Source organism: Homo sapiens, chromosome 15 (genome assembly GCF_000001405.40).
Source record: "Homo sapiens chromosome 15, GRCh38.p14 Primary Assembly".
Lineage (NCBI taxonomy): Eukaryota > Metazoa > Chordata > Mammalia > Primates > Hominidae > Homo > Homo sapiens.
Window position 1 is genome coordinate 73,417,058 of NC_000015.10, and position 23,555 is coordinate 73,440,612.

General features: G+C 41.0%; 1 protein-coding gene across 1 annotated transcript in view; it reads left to right on the forward strand.

Annotated features, from left to right (window-relative positions):
* The window catches only part of LOC124903571 (serine-aspartate repeat-containing protein I-like), a 64,902-nt gene that overhangs the window by 40,968 nt on the left and 379 nt on the right, over window positions 1–23,555 (forward strand). The window lies entirely within an intron of this gene.

Here is a 23,555-nt window from a genome sequence, read left to right on the forward strand (position 1 = left end):
GGCCACCAGGAAAATTAAAACCTAAACCACTATGAGATACCATGTTACACCCATTAGGATAGGTGTAATAATTTAAAAAAAAAACCATAAAATAACCAACCTTGGTGAGGGTGTGAAGAAATTGAAACCTTTCTACATGACTGGTAATAATGTAAAATTGTTTTTTAAAAAAAAAACTCCAGGCCAGGTATGGTGCCTCATGCCTGTAATCCTAGCACTTTGGGAGGCCGAGGAGGACAGGTCACTTGAGGTCAGGAGTTTTGAGACTAGCCTGGCCAACATGGTGAAACCCTGTCTCAACTAAATATACAAAAATTAGCCAAGTGTGGTGGCAGGCACCTGTAATCCCAGTTACTCCGGAGGCTGAGGCAGGATAATCACTTGAATCTGGAATGCAGAAGTTGCGGTGAGCCGAGATCTTGCCATTGAACTTCAGCCTGGGCAACAGAGAGAGACTCTCTCAAAAAAATTTTTTTTAACTCCAAAAAGTTTTTTTTTTCTTTTCCTTTTTTTTTTTTTTTGAGACAGGGTCTTTGCACTATTGCCCAGGCCGGAACACAGTGGTATGGTCATGGATCACTACAGCCTCAACCTCACCAGGTTCAAGTGATCCTCCCACATCAGTCTCCCAAGCAACGGGGTCTACACGCGTGAGCCACCATCCCTTGCTAAGTTTTGTATTTTTGGTAGAGATGGGGTTTCACCATGTTGCCCAGGCTGGTTTTGAACTCTTGGGCTCAAGAAATCCACCCACCTTGGTCTCCCAAAGTGCTGGGATTATAGACGTGAGCCACCATGCCTGGCCCAAAAAGTTAAACATAGTATTATCATATGATCCAACAATTCCACACAAGAGAATTAAAAACTTGTACATAAACATTTATAACAGCATTATTTATACAGTTGGTTCTCCATATCCACAGGTCCCACATCCTTGGATTCAGCCAACTGTGGCTGAATAAAAAAGTATTTTTGGGGCTGGGCATGGTGACTCACGCCTGTAATCCCAGCACTTTGGGAAGCCGAGGTGGGTGGATCACAAGGTCAGGAGATCGAGACCATCCTGGCCAACGTGGTGAAACCCCATCTCTACTAAAAACACAAAAATTAGCTGGGCATGGTGGAGCATGCCTGTAATCCCACCTACTCAGGAGGCTGAGGCAGGAGAATCCCTTGAACCAGGGAGTCGGAGTTTGCAGTGAGCCGAGATCGCACCACTGCACTCCAGCCTGGTGACAGAGTGAGACTCCATCTCAAAAAATATATATGTATGTATATTTTTAAGAAATATATATTTTTAAAAACAATAATACAACAATAAAAATAATACAAATAAAAAACAACACAGAACTACCATTTACATAGCATTTACATTGCATTAGGTATTATAAGTAATCTACAGATGATTTAAAGTATGCAGGAGGATGTACACAGGTTATATGCAAATAGTGTGTCATTTTATGTCAGAGACTTGAGCATGTGGATTTTGGTACGGGTGGGTATCTTGGAACCAATCCCCCTTGGATATCGAAGGACAAGTGTAATAGTGCATATCTTGGTATAAACAACCCAAGTGTTTATCAACTGATGCATGGATAAATAAAAGGTAATATAGCCATACAATGGAATATTAATACACTTATCCCAGGCCACTTTTCCCTCCACAAAAGTTGATGGCCAGATATCCTACATAGAGCTCTGCCTTCCAGGAGGATCACAGCCATGGGTGGAGTCATAGGGGGGCGGCAGACCATTTTTGACGCACAGCAACAAATCAAGGCATTCCATTCATGGACCAGACCCAGTTTTTTCCTGCTCACAGTAGCTGGTTGTATGGAACTCTCCACGAGGCCTTAGGTTTGAGCTGAGACAAAGGTATTGGTACAACAGAGGTGGGCGGCATGGGGATTTGGGATACCTGACAGTGTAAATTATTTGAGCTCTTCAGTTTTATTTGGGCCTAATCTCAAACATACCGATTCCACCATATGATGGATTGCTACTGTGTTCTCAAATTTGTGACTTGGTGGATGTGACAGGACCCAACTTATAAGGTTAGCTCCACTCAAACAGTCACCTAGCACCCCATGGTCATGCACTCAGTTTCAGCCAGGGTTCTGGTCTACCAGGGACTGATGTTTAAATAATGGCTATCTCTCTGCTGCAGGTAGCAAATCCTTTCTCCAGGACCTTAGGGATTTGTGCTATGACTCTCCTAAAATAATTTTTCAGAGATGCCACATAGCACCCTTATCTATCACAGGTACCTATAGCCCCATTGTGCTGGATTATATGACCTCCCCACCCTCTGCCCCATGGCAGGGCTGCTTTTGCTGAAGCCTGGACCTGCTGAAGAGCTCACTTTTACCCTAGGCCCAATTCAAAATCAGCTGCCTTCCAATGCATCTGATAAATGGGACTGAATAATATTCCCAACCATGGTATGTGCTATTTCCAAAATTCAAAGAGAGCTTCCAAGTACTCTGCCACTTTTTCAGTGCTAGGAGGTACAAGGTACAATCGTTTGTCTTTTACTTGAAGATATTCCAGCATACCCCAGACCACTGGGCCCCTGAAAACCTCACTGGTATGGTATTCTCCCTAAATTTTTATGGGATTTATCTGTTACCCTCTGGCCCTCAAGTGTCTTGCCAGGGCTTCCAGAATACTTATCATTTCCTCCTTACCAAGTCTGACTAATGTGATTTAATCAATATGGTAAACCAGCATGAAGTTCTTCAGAATATCAAGATAATCAAGGTCCCTTTAGACTATATTGTAACGGGGAGCAGGAGAGTTAATCAAGCTCTAGGCAAGACAAGTGAATGTGTACAGCTCTGTGTCTTAGGTAAATGCAAACTACTACTAACCTCCTTTCCTAATGGAGGTTAAAAATAACACATTCACCAGCTTAATAGATGCAGACTCAGTATCATACACTGTGTTGATCTAGTCAGTAAAGATAGCAAATTTCATATAGTAGCTGGGATTGGGACTACCACTTGCTTAAATTTATGGGAATCCACCATCATTTGTCTTGGTCAATCTGATTTGTAGGTCCTTAAGAAAGAATGGTGGTAATCTCTGCTATTCCACCCAGTATGCAGTACAACTACTTCTAATTTACTATCTTGGTTGGTAGGAGGAATAGTTTAAGGGGCTTCTGTCTGGCCTTTCATACTACAATGACTCTTACCCCACAGGCCAGGGAACCAACTACTAAGTGTATCTATCTCAATAATGCAATCGGGACTGAGAAAATTGACTTATACCAGGACTCCATGTAATACCCAGCCTGCATATACCCCTACTCTAAGTATGGGGACCATGATGACATTTTGGGTCTTTGTGGTATCAAATGTCAGCTCATTTAAAGGCTCTATATCCAATAGCCTTTAAAAGATCTGGACAGCCCTGTGCATCATTACCGTGCTAAACGACTATAGGTCCCTTTGGGATAAGGGTTGAGGGAACACCTACTTGCATACACTTGATGTAACATTATAGGGTCCTTCTTCAAGGGAGTATAGCCCCCTTCAAGCAAGTGCTCTAAAAACTGGCTCATGTCTGGAAAACAGTGAGAGATCATGATGTTTTTCCATTGCAATCAACTTTCTGCTCACCCTCTCTTGATCTATTTTGATCTTGTAAGTTAAGCCACATCCTCATTGACCCACCATTTATCTTGTGCCTAGAAACATCATTGTTTATTAGCCGTTGCTCTGAAGCCATGTGGGTTAGGACTCTTGATTTTCTTCTGGCCTTGCTGTTCATCATGGTAATTACACCCACATTTTCTCTGGCAGTTAAGTGCTGCCCCATGGCTGTGCTATTCCTGAATCCTATCATCTCATTGATATTAGGGACTCCAGTTCCATAGCACATCTTTTACCTTTAACCCTGGCCCACACAGGACAGCCACCACGGAACCCCTCACTAGCTTATTCCTTATTATTTTAATGAAGGAAGTGTCTTCTTGGCCTTTCCAGGGAATATAGTCAGCTGGAGTGTTCTCTAAAATTGCATAATAAATGCGTTCTAACACACTCATTTTTCTGAGGCTTCTTTTTTTTTTCTTTTTTTTTGACAAGAGTGCAGTGGCACAATAATAGCTCGCTGCAACCTCGAACTCCTGGGCTCAAGCGACCCTCTTGCCTCAACCTCTAGAGCAGCTGGGACTATAGGTGCATGCCACCTCACCCAGCTATTTTTTTTAAGAGGCGGGGTCTTGCTATGTTGCCCAGGCTGGTCTTGAACCCCTGGCCTCAAGTGATCTTCCCGCCTCAGCCTCCCAAAGTGCTGGGATTACAGGCATGAGCCACTGTGTTTGGCTTTTCTGAGGCTTTTGACCTCCTCCTCAGTACTCTGCTAAGCCATCTCCCCTTTCTTTCCTACAGACTATCACTGATTCCAAGCTTCAAGGAGCCATTCCATATTAGGATCAGCTCCAGGCATCCTCATTGGGATGTTAAATCCAAAGCCACAAGTGTGTCTCCATATCATTAAATCTTCCATGTCCAGCCTTATCTTTCAACCTCATTAGTCCAGCAATCTTGGAATCCATTCCCACATATGTTTTCCCACAGCTCTTTTGGTGAATAATCCCTTATCTTTAATGGCAACAATCATACTTTTCAACTGAAAGCACGCTGAGACCTGACCGTACTTATCAATCTAGAAGTGGCCAGGTGTGGTGGCTCACGCCTGTAATCACAGTACTTTGGGAGGCTGAGGCGGGTGATCACTTGAGGTCAGGAGTTTGAGACCAGCCTGGCCAACACAATGAAACCCTGTCTCTACTAAAAGTACAAAAATTAACCGGGTGTGGTGGCATGCCCTTGTAATCCCAGCTACTCGGGAGGCTGAGGCAGGAGAATCACTTGAACCCGGGAGGTGGAGGTTACGGTTAGCCAAGATCATGCCACTGCACTCAGCTTAGGCAACAGAGTGAGACTCTGCCTAAAAAAAAAAGAAAGAAAGAAAGAAAGAAAAAATAGAGAAGCAAGGAGGGTGGCAATGGGAGGTTGCCCTCCTAACAAGTGGTGGTGGAGGTGAGAAGGGCACACCTACTGGCTCAGAAGGGTCTAGATTCTTAAAGGCATCTACCCAAATATCCCATGTATCAGTGTCCTGACCTCACCTTATCAGTGCTGTGATTTTGGCATAGGAGATTTGTTAGGGCTATTAATTCATCTTCCTCTGTAACTCCACCACCCTTGCAATCAAATCTTGTCCTTATTTTTAGTACAATCGTCTTTCAGCTGCAGGAGATGCAGGTCACTAACATTGCCACCAGGCCGTGTGGTCTTCACATTGTATCCAGACTTAACAGGACGCTGACATGAATTTGGTATTTTTTTCCCCTGCTGAGCTTTCATTTTATTTCAAGACAGGGTCTCTCTCTGTTGCCCAGGCTGGAGTGCAAGTGTTGCAATCTCTGCTCACTGCAACCTCCGCCTCCTGGGCTCAGGTGATTCTTCCACCTCAGCCTCCCGAGTAGCTGGGACTACAGGTGCATGCCACCATGACTGGGTAATTTTTTTATTTTTTGTAGACACGGGCTGTCACTACGTTGCCCAGGCTGGTCTCGAACTCCTGAGCTCAAGTGACCCACCTGTCTCAGTCTCCCAAAGTGCGGGGATTACAGGCATGAGCCACCGCACTGGGCCCCCTCTTGGTTTTTATGGCAGTTAACAACAGCCAACCAATTCTGCCTTCTCTGTAATTACCATTGCGCCCTTATCTTTCAAGTGCCAGAGCTATTGAATAAGCATTGCATTCCATTCCACCTGTATTCCGCCCCAATCTATAGGCAAGTTTTATTCATTGCAACTAGCATGAGAGCTAATATTACCACCCCAGTCGCTTTTTTTTTTTTTTTTTTTTTTTTTTTTTTTGAGACGGAGTCTCGCTCTGTCGCCCAGGCTGGAGCGCGGTGGTGCGATCTCGGCTCACTGCAAACTCCGCCTCCCTGGTTTGAGCAATTCTTCTGCCTCAGCCTCCGGAGTAGCTGGGACTACAGGGGCCTGCCACCATGCCAGGCTAATTTTTTTGTATTTTTTAGTAGAGATAGGGTTTCACCGTGTTAGCCAGGATGGCCTTGATTTCCTGACCTCATGATCCACCCACCTTGGCCTCCCAAAGTGCTGGGATTACAGGCGTAAGCCACTGCGCCCGGGCCACCCCAGTCACTTCTTACTGATATCTGGTTGGCAAATGATACAATTTCAGAACCCCATATTGAGGGTCTGCTTCATAGGATCACTTTTGGCACCACCCTTCTTAGGATGAGAAAAGGATTTGAATGCAAGGAGCTTATTTGGAAGGTGTTCCCAGACCGCACTGGTATGAAGCTAGAGAAGAGAGAAAAGTAGAAGAAGGAAGTCAAGAGAGGCTCTACTAATGAGCAGATTTTCACCATGGACACCTCCTCCTCCCATTCATCACTGACTAAGAATCACTCCCCAGGATTTGCACTCCCCAGTACTTCTGGTTCAACCCATGGCATGGACCATGTAAAAGCCCACAGGTAGAGAATCACAGGTTTACAATGGGATACTATTAGTGTGTATGGTAATGATGAATGCTGGTGGGGTATGTGTGTGTCCTTAACTGTATATACTATCGTAGGCTAGAAAAAAAATTGTCCACCTTAACCACCTCACACAAAAGGAGATATCAAGAAAGCTTATCTTTTTTTTTTTTGCTTGGGCAAATGTGTGTGTGTGTGTGTGTGTGTTTGTATGTGTATGTGTGTGTCCCCTTTGAGAATCTGCAACCATAGATCTTTACTTGACATAGGCTTGCTATTTGAATTTATACTCCTTGATGGTCCAGAAACCCAAGGTAAGAAATTAATGTAAAATTTATCCCTGGCTAAGTGATACCCATGGAATGCTCAGCAAATGTGCATGAAAAAATAAAAAAAATTATATGACTTTAAACACCCAATAAAAGGAGAAATGATTTTTGATAAAGCCAAATGATGTTACATAATGCAGCCATTAAAATGATGCTTAGAACCGGGAGCTTGGGGGAGAGAGATAAAGAGAAGTTGTTTAATACTTGCAGAGATTCCGTTCTGCAAGATGGAAAAGTTCTGGAGATCTGTTCCACAGGAATGTGAATATACTTAACACTACTGAAGTGGATACTCAATAATGGCTAAGATGGTGAATTTAGTGTTATGTGTTTTTTTACCGCACAGGAAAAAAGAGAAACAAAGAGTTCTTAATGGTGAGGAGAAATGCTTATGGTAGAATGCTAGAGAGAAGGGGGACACAAAATTGTATAGACCATCTTATCCATCTTATCTCATCTGTGAACAATTACATATAATAGTAATTATATATTTTATATATAATATATTATATATATACATATATATGTATATATAACTACAGTGGAGGGAAAAGGTTTAAGAAAATATTTTAAAATACTAATAAAACTGCCTGGCAGAATTATGGGTGATTAATTTCATTTTATCTTCCTTTCTAAAAAAATCTATTTCAGTAATGTATCACTTAGGATGCTTTCAGTTGCAAGAAATGGAAAATCCAATTTGAAATGACTTAAAAAATGAAGGGGATTTATTGGCTTATGTAACTGAAAAGGCCAGAGGTGGGGTAAGCTTCAGGGCTGATTTGGTTCAGATGTTCTAGTGATGTCATCAGGAACCCATTTCCTTCCCTCTTTCTGCCCTGCCATCTCTGGCTCCAGCTTTACCCCAAGGCTGACTCCCTTCATGGTACCAGAATAGCTGTAGCAGTCCCAGGCTGTGCACCCACACACCATGCTGTCCCAGGGAAAGGACCCCTCTCTTGGCGGCTTTCAAAAGAAGAGGAAATTTCTTTCTCATAAGCCACAGATAACTGATGCTTAAGTCTCTTTGGCCATATTGCATCACATTTCCACCTCCGATCATATTATCCTGATCGATCTTAGCTTAAGCAGATAGGCTACAAGGTGCAGAAGATACCTGAAAAAATGTCTGGGCATTGTTAGGAAGGGGAGAGAAGAGAATGAATGCTGGCTGGACAGCTAACAAATACATGTATTTAAGCCTATTCCAAAATTTTAGAATAAATTTGTATTTCTCTGGGAAGTTCAAAAACCACAAGTGTAAAAATGCTCTTTTATAGAATATTATATATAGTATACTATAGCATGTATTACATAAGTTTATATAATATAAACATACAATATGTAAGTTATAAGTTTGTTATATAAATATATATTTATTATAATATATGATATATATTATATATTTTGTACATAATATATATCATAAGTTTCTATAATACATACTATAGTATACTATACATAATATATTTATATATGTACTATAATAGACTATTATATTACAAATATAATATAAATACCATAATAATAATGTTCTTTATGCAGAAAAAGTAACAAACCACCTTTACCAGCCTTTTACATAGACTCTATAGAACGAGGCTAGCATTCTGAAATCAGCTTTAACCTGACATTACAATTAAGGGTGACATTAAAAATATTTAATGAGCAGTATGGCACAGTTATCAATCAATCTGAGTGGGCACCCAAACAATGGGGGAGAGGATGTCACTGGCCATTCCACTGCGTTGGTGACCTCAGCCACAATCACAGTCATTATTACTTAGCAGTCACCATTAGCTCAGAGTATGACATAAAACTGTCCAGTTTACCTTCAGCCACCAGTGCTGGACACCCACTAGCCAAGGGATTCTCACTCACACCCAGTCCAACACTGCCAGGACAGAGGGATCCCCATCACCAGACACACAGTCTCAAGGGAGACTAGGATTATCATTGTCAAACACCAGTGGAAGCATGGGCTAAAGAGAATAAAAATAAAATCCAGCAAAAGCCTCCCTAGTCTTCTGTTGCATTTAATGAAGAGATACGACATTGAAGTCAAGACAAACCAATGTCAAAATGAGCTCAATCATTTACAGCTGTGTCTACTCCACCTGGCCAAGCTTCAATGTTCAATCTACAAAAATGAGTAATACAAGAATTACCTCCAAAATTGGTTATGAACACGTAGAGGTAGTGTAAATAAAGTCATTAATGCGGGTGCAGCACATACTAGGGAGTTAATCAATGGTAAGTATCTTTTATTACCATCTCAAGAGGCTGGTTGAAAAACCTCAGAGAACTGAGAGGCTTATAAATGCCCTTGTAGGGAGATTAGCTCTCTGATTTCTGAAGTAAGGAAACAGCCACTGGCCTCTCCGTAATTTAACCCTCATTTTGGGCTTGAACCATCCATTCATCCACACTGCCCCTGTCTCTATAAATATAATGGGCTGACAGCCTCTAGTGCTGGAAACAGCTCTTCCTGAGCTGGGATTTCTGACAGCTCAACTTCCACAAGCTGTTCATGAGTTATTTCAAGGGACATTTTACTGTCAATCACTTACCCCCGAAGTGGACTGCACAGTCCTGCCATGTGACCAGGATTCTGAAAGGGGCGAGAACAACATTTGCTTCCTGGAAATCAGCATACTGGTTCACGACCCATAAAAGGAAGCTGAGAAAAGGAATGTGATGCTAAACAAGGAAAGGAAGCTATTCTTACCAACAACTCCATATATGTCAACCACTGTGCTATCTTGCTGAATCCCCACAAGAACCCCGGGAGGCAGGTGTTAGATGCCCACCTTACAGGTGAACAAACTAAGGCTTAAAGATGCTAACTAACTTGCCCAGGCTGGTATGGGGAGGAGCTGAGTTTCACATCTAGGGCTCTTTGACCGCAAATTTCTTTCAGAATTTCTCAGAGGTGATGCTGCTGACATTTTGGGCAGGGAAGTTTTTTTTTATTATATGATGTTTAGCAACTCTGGTTCCTGAGCATTAAAGGTCAACAGCATGCCCAGGTCATTGTAACAGCTAAACTGCCTCCACACAGTTTCAAACCTTCTATATCTATAATAAATAGATCTTTTAGATCTATAATAAATCTATTTGTAATAGATAAAAAAACATCTTATTTCAGAACAGGATTCTGGCACAGAGTAAGAAGAGAAAAGGAGGCTGGGCACGGTGGCTCATGCTTGTAGTCCCAGCACTTTGGGAGGCCAAGGTGGGTGGATCCCTTGAGCCCAGGAGTTTGAGACCAGCCTGGGCAATGTGACAAAACCCTGCCTCTACAAAAATACAAAAGTTAGCCAGCCATAGTGGCACACACCTGTGGCCCCAGCTACTCAGGAGGCTGAGGTGGGAGGATTGCTTGAACTGGGAGGGTCGAGCTGCAGTGAGCTGTGATTGCACTACTGCACTTCAGCCTGGGTGACAGAGTGAGACCATGTCTCAGAAAAATAAAAATAATTTAAAAATAAAAATAAATTAAAAAAATTTAAAAATAAGTAAAAAAGAAGAGAAAAGAAGCTTCACAGATGTGGCCATGGGTGATATTGGAAATGCATTTGTGAATCCAAGTGTGTGTGTTCCTGTCTAGAGTTAATAATGCATCTCTGTGCATAGAGTGTGCATGCCACACTATCACTGCACACGTGCATGAGATGTGCTCTTGTGTATGCACAGGCATGCAAGGCCCTAAGTCATCTGGGACCCTTTCTTCTCAATCAGCTCCCACATTCAATCAGTCTCTTCAGTCCTGTTGATTCCCCCTCGTAAATATATCTCACACCCATTTCTGCTCTCCATCACTGCTACATTGGTCTATATCAAACTTCTTCATCTCTCATCTGGACCACTGCACTGACCCTATATCTGATCACAGGTACTACCAATTCATTCTCCACACCACTGACCACCAGCATTATCTGTCTGTAAGGCAAATCAGACCACATCTCCCTCTAGCTCAAAATTCCTCAGTCGTTGCCATTGCCTATAGCAATTTTAGAAGCAGAACCTTGTATCTAAATGAAGTCTTCAAACACAAGTGCAATACGTAAAGCAGATAAATGCAGAAATGCTCTTTTGGATTATGCAGACTCCTCAGCAAGGCATACAAGGTCTTTTATGATCTGTCCTCCAGCCAACTACTACAGCAACTTCTCTGGCTTGGTGGTCATGTTTGAGGGCTCTAGAATTCCCTACCTGCATTCAAATTCTTTGCCACTTACTAACTGTGCAACTTGGGCACATTGCTTTACTTCTCTGTGCCTGAGTTTCTTGTAGATAAAGTGGGACTAACTGCACTTAATGGAGTTCTTTTGAAGATTAGATTCATTCATATTTGTGAAACACTTAGAACAGTTCCTGTGGTTCCCAAAGGAATCTGTGGTGGGATTGAGGCCCACTAGAGTTGCCTACAATGTGACCAGTTAAATACACATCCTTGGATTAGCTTTCCTCTTTCTCTCTTTCATTTCAATTTTTTTTTTTTTTTTTTCAGATCGAGTCTGGCTCTGTCGCCCAGGCTGGAGTGCAGTGGTGCGATCTCAGCTCACTGCAATCCCTGCCTCCTGGGTTCAAGCAATTCTCCTGCCTTAGCCTCCCAAGTAGCTGGGACTACAGGCTTATGCCACAATACCCAGCTAATTTTTGTATATTTAGTAAGACAGGGTTTCACTACGTTGACCAGGCTGGTCTCGAACTCCTGACCTCAAGTGATCCACCCGCCTCAGCCTCCCAAAGTTGAGGGATTACAGGCATAAGCCACTGCGCCCGGCCCTCTCTTTCACTCTTTAGTCCCCCCACCTCTATTTCCTCAGACCACTTCCCCAAATAAACTATTTGCACACAAGATCCTGTCTTGACCTCTGCTTTTGTAGGGAATCTAAGCCAAGACAAAAAAAGGTTCCCAAATTTTTCACTATTACAAAAAAATCCTGCTTTATGTTTTTATGTTTCCTTGTGACCATGTGTGAGTTATTCTCTGAGGTATAAATCTAAAAGTAGAACTGCTGAGTTACATGATGTGTGCATTTTCGATTTTATTAGAAATTGCCAAGTTACTTTCCCATATGGTGGAACTAATTTACATTGTTGTCCACACTGCTGAAAATTCCCATTTTCCCACATTCTCTTCAATATTAATGTTGTCTGGTTTTAATTTTTGCCAGTAACATACAGCCTCATTATTGTTTTTAATATGTATCTCCTTGACCGCTAACGAAGTTGAGCATCTCTTCTTAAGTTCATTGCTCATTTTGTTTTCCTTTTATGTATTTTGCTTATTCACATCTTTTGCCCATTTTCTATTGGGTTTCTTTGTCTTTTTGTTATTGATTTATGGAACTTCTTCATACATTCTAGATACAAATCCTTTATCTGTTAACTAGGTTGTGAATATTTTCTCTGAATGTTTCACTTGTCTTCAAATTTTGCCTATGATACTTAGTTTTTACTTTTAATGTAATCAAATATATTTTTCCCTTTATTGTTTGTTATTTTTTATGTCTTGTTTTAAAAAATCTTCTTTTTATGTTACTTTATGATAATATTTACTTCTTTCCTTTCATAATTTTACATTTTGGTTTAGGGCTTTAATACATCTGGAATTTATTTTTATACATGGTATAAAGAATAACTCTTTTTGAGCTAACAGGCATTGAGAAGTTTTACTTTGCATTAAAAAATGTTTCTTGCAGAGACATCTTGGCATTTTGCATAATGTATATCTGACAGACCTAGAAATGGCAGAAAGGTAGAAAAGAAGGCGAAAGCACTGAGAAACTAGGGATGGTAAAGAAATTTCAATTTCACATTTTATCCAATGTGAGTACTGTGACCTTGTTTGGGCAATCACATAAAAACCACTTTGAAAAGGTTTACATTGGTTCTTAATTATCTAGAGGTGTCATATTATTGAACATTTTTTGATTCCCTCACTTCCATTAGTCAGCTGGAATATGCTCAGAGAAATTGCAAAAGCTATGAAGTGGGAAAATAAGTAGCTTCAGTCTGAACCAAACACAATGAGAAAAGGAGGCCTGCAGGAAGAAAATTACATTTCAAAGCCTAAGCTAAAAAGTTTGGGGATTTTCTGCTATTTTGGAATAGTTACTCACTTTATATTCGTTCACTCAGCAAGCATGTATTGAGCATCTACTCCATTCCAAGGACTATCCTGGGTGTAGGGAGCTGTAGAGATAAATAAGTCCCTCCCCTTGCTCTCAACAATTTCTCTTTTAGGCAAAAAGACAACTATGTAAGAAAATAAATTTTCATTATAGGTGATAAATATATGAAATGCCTACCATACACCATTTAAACATAATACCGAGCAGGAGGAATTAGTTATCTACACTGGGGAGGAGGAGGTGGTCAAGGAGATGTTCCTGGAGCTAACATGTGAGGAACTATTCAGCGGTGAACAATGGTTGACCAGGTAGACAAGGAGGTAGGTATGAGATGACTTCAAAGGACATTCCAATCAGAGGGAGTAGAGAAAGCAGACATGTGAGAGGCAACTGTGCCTGTAGGTGGTGGGAAGGGTCTAAAAATGTCACACAAACAGGATCTATTTTCCCAATTTTCTATTTCTCCTCTTCAGTTTGAGCTTGTCTTAGTTCTGAAGAAAAGGCCCATTTCATCAAAGTAAACAAATATGGGCTGAAATTGACCTTCTTTTGCATATATATCTAGATTTCTTTTATTTATCTAACAATTTTTGTTCAGCACCTACTACAGGTGCTAGCAATACTTAAGGAATTCTTGTGAAAAGACATACAGAAATACAGACATTAGTAAGACAGATCTGCTAATGGAAGGTTGTACCCAGGTCCTGGATGTGAAAACAGGGCACCTAATTCTGCCTGGGAGAGTCAGGAAAGAGAGACAGAGGAAGTGGTCCTTGAGTTGAAATTTGACAGGTAAATAAAGTTTGCCAGGCAGAGAAGTAGGAAGGAGACAATTCTAGGTGGAGGCTGCAGGATGTTACGGTACCAACGTGGTCACTACACCCCTTTCACCTGCAACTGTCTCACCCACAATGCCCTGCTCAAGGAAGAGAAGCAAAGCCATCCTTTGAAGGATGGTGGCTGCTGATTGGACCTCCTCACAGGCAGACAGTGTCCTATGACGTATCCAGATGCAAGGGCTTTACCCAATTAGGAAGCATTGGTAACTGGTCAATCAGGCTGCATCCCCTAAGAATTTAGAGAATACAAATTGGACTGTCTGGTAACAGCAGAAGGATGATGATGCCAGCTCTCAGAGAAAAGAAGAAACCTGGCTAGAGCACCAATTGTCTGTGATTATTTCCCCCAAGGATAGAAGATTAATTCATTTATCCATAGGCTCCCAGCTTCCAGTCATCAAGGATTGCCCTATGGGATGTTAACTCCTTCACGTTTCCAGGTTGCATGTAGGTCAGAATGGCTGAGTAGGACCCCACTGGAGTTGCCAGATTGTTATGTTTTCTTTCATGGGCTCTGTCTCTTTGGCCTTTTTTTCCCCTCCCTCCCTCCCTCCGTCCTTTCCTCCTTTCCTCCTTTCCTCTTTCCTTTCTTCCTTCCTTCCTTCCTTCCTTCCTTCCTTCCTTCCTTCCTTCCTTCCTTTCTTTCTTCTCTCTTTCTTTCTTTTCTTTCTCTCTCTCTCCCTGTCTCTCTCTCTCTCTCTTTCTTTTTTAGATGGAGTTTCGCTCTTGTCACCCAGTCTGGAGTGCAATGGCGCAATCTCGGCTCACTGCAACCTCCGCCTCCCAGGTTCACAAGCGATTCTCCTGCCTCAGCCTCCTGAGTAGCTGGGATTACAGGTGCCCACTACCATGCCCAGATAATTTTCATATTTTTAGTAGAGACAGGGTTTCGCCAGTTAGCCAGGCTGGTCTCGAACTCCTGACCTCAGGTGATCGGCCTGCCTCGGCCTGCCAAGGTGCTGGGATTACAGGCGTTAACCACTGCACCTGGCCGACCTTTTGTTCTACTTTCTAGGAGAGCTCCTCAACTTTATTTTTCAACTCCTGTGCTTTCTTTTATATTTGTCCAGCATATTTTAAAATTTTTAGAGCACTCTTTTTTCTCTAATTATTTGTCTTTTCTGTAGCGACCTGTTCTTGTTTTATAGATATAATAGCTTCTCATGTCTCTCTGGGGATTTTAATTATCTTCTTCTTCTCTCTGTGTCATCTCTGTTCTCTCTGGTTATTTATCCTTTCTTCTACTCTCTTTTATATGTTGGAGATTTTTCTCAGAAGTCTGATAATATTAATTGCTGGTTTTTATTTAAGAGTGAGGTAACTAAAAAGCTGATTGGAACTATAATATTCTGATTGGGCTTTAGAATTGGGGAAATTTGCTTTAGGTAAGTTAGGAAATAAGAAGTTTCCTTCTATTCTGAGTGGCCCCCAAATGCCAGATAAATGGAAGTTATTCCATTTCTCTATGGAAGAACCCTCTGCCTGGGGGGAGATGTCCTGTGGGTAGGTGTTTTACACTCAAGTTTTGAGAATGTGTTCCACTTATAGACTTTCTTTCTTTCTTTTTTTTTTTTTGAGACCGAGTCTCGCTCTGTCACCCAGGCTGGAGTGCAGAGGCGCGATCTCGGCTCACTGCAGCCTCGGCCTCCCGGGTTCAAGCGATTCTCCTGCCTCAGCCTCCTGAGTAGCTGGGATTATAGGTGCCTGCCACCATGCCCAGCTAATTTTTGTATTTTTAGTAGAGACGGGGTTTCACCATGTTGGCCAGGCTGGTCTTGAACTCCTGACCTAGTGATCTGCCCGCCTTGGCCTCCCAAAGTGATGGGATTACAGGCGTGAGCCACTGTGCCTGGCTCCACTTATAGACTTTCAATTAGTCCATCCATTTGCAGCCTCACGTCTCAGTCACGTGTACCCTCTGGGGACACATGCCATCTCTGCCAGACATGATGGCTTTCTTCTATTTTACATTCTCCTTCTAGTATGCTCCAGGCTGCAACTTCCCCTGCCCTACTAACAGTTACCCTTCCTTCTGTAGTTTTTTCCTCCTTAGAAACTTGTTGAAATCTCTCCTTCACCTTGCTTTTTGATCATAGTCTTTTTTTCTAGTCATCTACATTTATTAATATGACGGTACATTTGGTCTTCTTAGTTATTCCTTGGTTTTAAATACTTTTTTGATGTTCTGTTATATTAATGTTTCACTTTATAATCTGTGATTACTTTTCTGGGACGTGCATGCTGTTTTTGTCTGATAATAAGGATTTTTTTTATAGTCTGATATTTTTCTAGTTGATCACTTTTTAGCTATGATTTTGAATAACATAACTGATTCTAGCATACAGCTAGATTTAAAAGTCCAATCTGATGATTTATGTTTTTAATTTGTGAGTAGAGTTTATTTACATTTTTGTAAATATATATATATTTGAAGTTTTAGGACCACCTTATGCATGATTTCTGCTTATTATTCTTTCTTTATTCCTTCTCTTTGTTGATAGACTTTTCTTTATACCAACACTCTTTTTTAGTTTACTCATTTGGAAGCTATAGATTGTTCTATATTTTTAGTGGTTTCTTTCATTTTTTGACATATGCACACTTAACTCCTCATTTTCTAACAAAACTACTGTTATTAAATATTTCAATCCTAACTTTGGACATTGTCACAATTTAACTACTTGTTGAATACCTCTCTCCCTCCATCTTTTTACTCTTTAGAGTTTTAAAAATAGTCAATAGTTTTTTTGATAGTCAATAATTTTCTCTACATTTAAAATCAATTTCTGTGCTATCATTAAATACATCCTCTAATAGTTATTTTAGTGAGTGTCTAGAAGTATCAACTCTCAGTTATTACACTGAAAATTCATTGTTTAAATTTTTAAATGGGCAACTTTTTAATTGAAGTGTAATATACATAAAGAAACCTACAAAAATTATATACAATTGATTCTCATTATTTGTGAAAATCATGTTCCATAAAATCACCATGAACACTGAATTAATAAATACTGAACCATTGCTCCCAGGGGAAATACAGAGTTAGGCTCCCGTGAGCCTCTGGTCACAACATTTTCGTCAGCCGATCAATGTGTAATCTTGTTTTATGTGTGTTTCTATTGAAAGACACCTTATTTAATATGTATGGTTGATTCATTAACATTGAACTTACTGCCAACAGCACTGCAACTCATGCCTGAATGAAGCTTACTAACACATGTATTTTCTCTATAAGGCATACCACAGGCTTATGATAACACTAGGTAACACTTCAGCTGTATGCTTCCAGGCCATTTTAAACAGCAAAATCACCATCAGAAAGCACAAAAATGCAGAAAAACGTGCACTAAGTAGCCTGTGAAAAGGACACTTGAGGCCAGGCGCGGTGGCTCACGCCTGTAATCCCAGCACTTTGGGAGGCCGAGGCAGGCGGATCACAAGGTCAGGAGATCGAGATCATCCTGGCTAACACGGGGAAACCCCGTCTCTACTAAAAGTCCAAAAAAAAAAAAAAAAAAAAAAAAAAAAAAGCCCGGGCGTGGTGGCGGGCGCCTGTGGTCCCAGCTACTCGGGAGGCTGAGGCAAGAGAACGGCGTGAACCCGGGAGGCGGAGCTTGCAGTGAGCCGAGATCGCGCCACTGCACTCCAGCCTGGGTGACGGAGACTCTGTCTCAAAAAAAAAAAAAAAAAGAAAAGAAAAGAAAAGAAAAGAAAAAAAAGAAGAGGACACTTGCTTCTAACATGAGAGCTGAAACAAGTAAGCAGAGAGTTGCTTTGTCCGACTTCAGCTTGGAACATATGCATCCAGTGACTCAAATTTTTCCCCTCAATGCGTATATCTGCAAACGACCACAAAGCTCAGCAAGTATTGATTTTGGGGTTGCAAATAAATTTGAGTGAGTAGGTAAATTAACAAATACAGAATCAGTGAATAAATGAGGATGGATTGTATGGACACACAATGACTTTTCATAAAGTGAAAGCACCCATGTAACAAGCATCTGAGTCAAGAAATAAAGCGTTTCCAGCATTCTCTTTGGCCTTTTTCCAAGGGTAACCATTTTTCTGGCTTCTGACACCATAGATTGGTTTGCCTGCTTTTTCACATTACCTCATGTAAGCATGTGTTATGTACTTTTTTGTGTCTAGCTTCTTTTGTTCAATATTATGTTATTCATCCACGTCACAGGTTGTAATAAATAGTATTGATCATTCTAAAGCATTTTTGTCAGTCTGTTCTATACAATTAGTTTTGTCAGAAGTGAGTTTGTATTCCTAGTGTTGATTTTGTTGATTGTCTTTCCTAGAATTGTATTCCCTGATGTGTTTTAGACTTTTGATTTTCAGGGTCATTTTAAGCAAGAAGCTTCTTGCTTTTCTTCATGTTTCTCTTGCTTTCTAGTAATTGAGTGGTGTGCTACTGCCTTCCCTTTGTCCCCCAGGCTCCAGTCCAAAACTAGGTCTTACAGGGATGTTGATGTGCTGCAACATTGGAGATACCCAGTTCCAGAGTCTGCACGAGCCTTGGCTCAGGTCCTGCTCATGAGGCTGTGTCTGTCCACCTGCCTCCTTTGGGCCCCATGTTGCTGGGAACAGTTACACCGGGCAGCAGAGTGGCAGTCTTTTTGAGCCCCTTTCAATGGAGTAGCATCCCACTCCAGCTCCTGGCTTCATGCAGGGAGCCTGACTCTATTCTGTGCCTTGTGTGGAGATGTTTGGTCCTGATTCCCTGCTACCGCTGTCTGGGTCCAGACCTGGAGCCCAGCATGCCCTGGCTTTATCCTTGCTCACTGCTGGAGATTTATGGTCCCAGAGATGCTTGTCTTCTCTTTGATCCCAGCTATCCATTTTCAGTCATCTCTTCTTATATTTGACCTGTCATTACTGTGTCTGGACATGGGTGAAGTTGTCGAGGAGTGAATTTAACTGTACTATGCTGCCTGGGAGTCTGTATTGTTTGTTTTATCAGAGAATTAACAAGCCATTTTTATCTTGAAATACATAAAGTATTCAAGAGTTTCCTCTCAGGTGGAAACAATTCAAATATCTGTCAACTGATGAGTGGATAAACAACATGGGTATATCTATACAATGGAATATTAGTCATCCATTAAAAAGAATGAAGTATTCATACATGCTATAACATGGACGAATCTTGAAAACATTACGCCAAGTAAAAGAAGCCAAACATAAAAGGCCATATATTGTATAATTTCATTTATATGAAATATACAGAATAGACAAATTCATAGAGACAAAGAGTGGATTGGTGCTTTCCAGGGGCTTGGGGGAGGGGAGCGTGGAGCTGATAACTAATGGGTATGGGGTTTCCTTTTGGGGTGATGAGAATGTTCTGGAACTAAAGAGTGGTGATGGTTGCACAACACATGCCTTCTAACTGCTCTCATTTGAAGGTATCACTCCTTCGCACCAACACAAGGCCAGGTCCTGTCTTTATTGAACATCTTTCACAATATATTGTGAATTACTTGTCTTTGGGTCTGTCCCTCTACCAGACTATAAACATTTTCAAGAGAAGCGTTTTTTCCTATTCAGATTTGTATCTCTGTTACTTTGCTTAGTGCCTGGCACAGAGTAAATCCAAGTAACACTGCTGAATAAATGAATGAACAAATTAGTTGAACTGACATGACCACTTCAAAAAAAGTCATTCTTTTTCTGGGTCCCTCAGTTTATTGTCAGAATCATTTCCCAGGGAAAGATTTTCATTCAGAGACACTGTGATGCCCTCAGAGTTAAAGCATTTGATGTGAGGAAGCAGTGCAAGCAGCCCTTACCATTCCCAGGGTCCCCCTAAAACTTTGACCTCCCAGCCTCAGCCAGTCCTAACCTAACATCTGCTGGAGGTGCAGTTGCAATGGCTGAATTATTCAAAATATTCCCAACAACTAAGCACAAAAATGCTGTTGCTGAGTCACTCCCAGCACAAAGCATTTTCTTTATGATGTCTGCCCTCTGAGGTGTAAATTGCAAGTCTCACAGCCTCACTCTATAGAGGTGAGCTAAATGACTTCTCCAGGGTCAGGGAACAAATGATGGAATAAGCGATGCATCAAATTGGAAGCGATTTCTAGGGATCTATGCTTCTGTATTTGACTATGTATATGTAGGTGTCAGGGTTGGAAAGTCCCCAAATATATCACCTATTAGATTAAGATCTTGAGATACAAAAATTTATTCTTGAATGTTAGTGCCAATTCTTCATGACGTGGTTGAAGGTGATTTCTTCTTGTTCCAACAGTGTGGAGGTAAGGAAGGGAAAGGGTTATTAACCATTTCCCCCCATGTTAACCCTTTATACACTCACAGTGATTTTTAAATTATCCCTTTCTTCCATATTAAAATTTGCAGTCCATTCATTAAAAAAAAATTAAGAACCTATTATGTGCCAGCAATTCTGGATTTCAACATAAAGTATGGTCCCTTTCTTTAAGGTCTGAGTTCATAGTCTTCCTTTAGGGTTTGCTTTAAATTCTTATTTCTGACGCTAATCCAGCTTTGTAAAATATGCTCCCAAATCTACCACCTGGCAAACGTTTTGTAGTAATTTATTATTCTCTGTGCTTTTAACACACGGGAAAATCAGTGTTAATCTCTCTCCATGTTATGCCAATGACCAGCAGCCTGTAGACAAGTTAGGATTGTCTGCGCCTGGTCACATTGAAATACTTTCAATGACCTGCGATGGAGGAGTTGATTTTTGCTTGTGGAAGATACAGAGTAGCAACTTGAAAATAATTGCTTTTTAGCAGTGAGTGTAAAGTACCATGGGAACATCCCCTTCTCACACAGTATACACAGGTCTGTCATAATGTAGACAGTTCATCTGGCTTGACTGATGCAAACAGGGCTTTTCTGGGAAATCTCACAGCCATCAACATTGTTCTGCAGTTCTCAATCACTTTGTGTGTCCCCAGAGCTGTTGCTGAGGGACACAGCAGGCAGAGCAGAGGTGCAGCTTTTCCTGTCGTCTTGTCATCTAGGGGACCCAAGGAGACTGAAGCCATCATTTCCTTTGCTGACTCAATATCCTGGGCAAAACGGATGTATGGGGTCCCTGGTCTGCTCTGAAAGACACATGCTAGGGTTCCAAAACCAGTCCTTCAGCCTGCCTCCAACAGTGATGCTGACTTACTCACACAGCATCTCTCTGTGCTATTTATGCCACCTGCAAAATAGAGTTACACAGTAAAAGAATTTGGAATGAAAACACTGTTCAGTGAAATAAATGACTTTTTCTCTTTTTTTAAAACTTCAGGGGCTAGGTTTTTCTAACTGGTAATAGTCTTCTAAGAGGGGGATGTAGGGATCCAGTGGCTCATGCGAGTAACCCCAGAGGCTGAGGCAGGAGAATTGCTTGAAGCCAGGAGTTTGAGACCAACTTGGGCAACAAAGCGGGACCCCATCTCTACAGAAAAAAAAAAAGAAGGGGATGTTTTAACTCATAGTAACCTGTCATTTATTAGTTCTGCCTTCAAATGCTGTCATTCTGCTGCTTCTAGTCAGCGAGGCATTGGAGGGTCTACTTTCATTTGAGAATGACTTCTCCCTCCTCTGAATGCTGGTTGTAGCATCTTCCTATATGCAACTATATTAAAGCTAAATACATGAGGGTAGGGACGGTCTGTCTTGTTTGTTACTGTCTTGGTTTGAGTTTCCACAGAAGCAGACCCTGGGATAAGCAGACCCTCGAGTGCAAGCAATTTATTTGAGAGGCGATCCCAGGAAACACTGATAGCAGAGGGAGACAGGGTAGGGAAGTTAGCCCAAAATGAATCATTACTAAACAAGTTAGCATCGTGGGTAAGTGGAACTTAATTCCACTGGAAAACTTAGGGAACAGGGTATTACACACATCTCAGAGCTGTCCCAACTGAGGAGTAAGGGAACTTGGGTATTTATATGACAGTTTCCATTAGTCATTGGTTTAGGGCTGCCCCCATTTAACATAACAGTACATCCACATGGAAAAGAATGATCCTTAATCCCTACTTCACTTCACACAAACAATATAATGCAAGAAGGATCATATACCTAGTTGTAAAAGTTAGAACCATAAAGTTTCTGGAAGAAAATGTGGGAGGATATGTGTGCAACCTTAGGGTAAGCAAAGTTTTCTTGTGCAGGACAGAGAAAACACTATTAAAAACACCCGAAAAATTAATTAAAAAGTACTTAATCAAAATTAAATACATCTGCTCTTTACAAAAACATTGTTAAGAAAATGAAAAGGCAAGTAATGGAATGGGAAAATATTTTCATTACATATATCTGACAAAGGACTGGTGCCCAGAATATATAAAGAACTCCTACAAATCAACAACGTTCAACGATTTGAACAGACACTTCACACATAATGTATACAAATGGCCAATAAGCCAATATCATTCATCATCAGGGAAATGTAAATTAAAATCCCAATGAGAAACCACTAGACATCAACCAGAATGGCTCAAACTAAATACTTGGTAAGGCGAATGTCAGCAAGGATGTGGTCATGTCAGCAACTGGAACTCTTATATTTTGCTGATGGGAGTGCAAAGTAGCACAATCACTATGGAGAACTCTTTGGCAGTTTTTTACAAAGTTAAACATACATCTCTCTAAGACCCAGAAATTATATTTCTAGGTATTTATTTATTTATTACTGTTTTTTTGAGATGGAGTCTCGCTCTGTCACCCAGGCTGGAGTGCAGTGGTGCGATCTTGGCTCACCGCAACCTCCGCCTCCCAGGTTCAAGTGATTCTCCTGCCTCAGCCTCCGGAGTAACTGGGATTACAGGTGCCCACCACCACGCCCAGCTAATTTTTGTATTTTTAGTAGAGAGAGGGTTTCACCATGTTGGCCAGGCTGGTCTTGAACTCCTGACCTCAGGTGATCCACCCGCCTTGGCCTTCCAAAGCGCTGGAATTACAGACGTGAGCTACTGCACCTGGCCCTCTAGGTATTTATTATTGAAGATAAATGACAACACACATCTACAAAAAATAAAAATAAAAAGCTTGTACAAAAATGTTCATAACAGCAAAAACAAACAAACAAAAAACTAGAAAGTATCCCAAATGTCCACCAACAGGTGAAAAAAAGCAAGCTGTGAAGTAGTCATATAATAGAATGCTATTTAGCACTAAAAAGGAATGAATTATTGGTACATGCAACAACATGGATGGAGCTAAAAAAACAAAATTACACTGAATGAAATAAGCATATATAAAAGAATATATTCTGTTTTATTTCATGTATATAAAGTCCACGAACAGGAAAGCTAAGGTGATAAATCGACCAGTGGTTGTCCTTGCAGGGTGGTCTGATTTGAGTAATGGAAAGGAGGCACTCACAAGGGAACCTGGTGGTTTTGAAAGTGTTCTATATTTTGTTTTGGATGGTGGTTACATGAGTATATATAGGTGCCAAAACTCGCCTAATTGGATATGTGAGATCTGTGCTTTTTATTATCTAAAATTATACCTTAATAAAGATTACAGACTTATCTTTTAAAAAGAAAACACATTAGCCATTAACAATAGTGGGTGATTTGCTCAGTGTTCTGCCCTCTACTAGACTGTGAGCTTCAAGAGAGCAGAAGCCCCATTTGTTTTGCTCTCTACTATATGCTCAGCACCTATCATAGCACCTGGGACCACTTGAGTGCTCAAGTCATATTTGTTAATATTATAAGTTTGTAAGAAC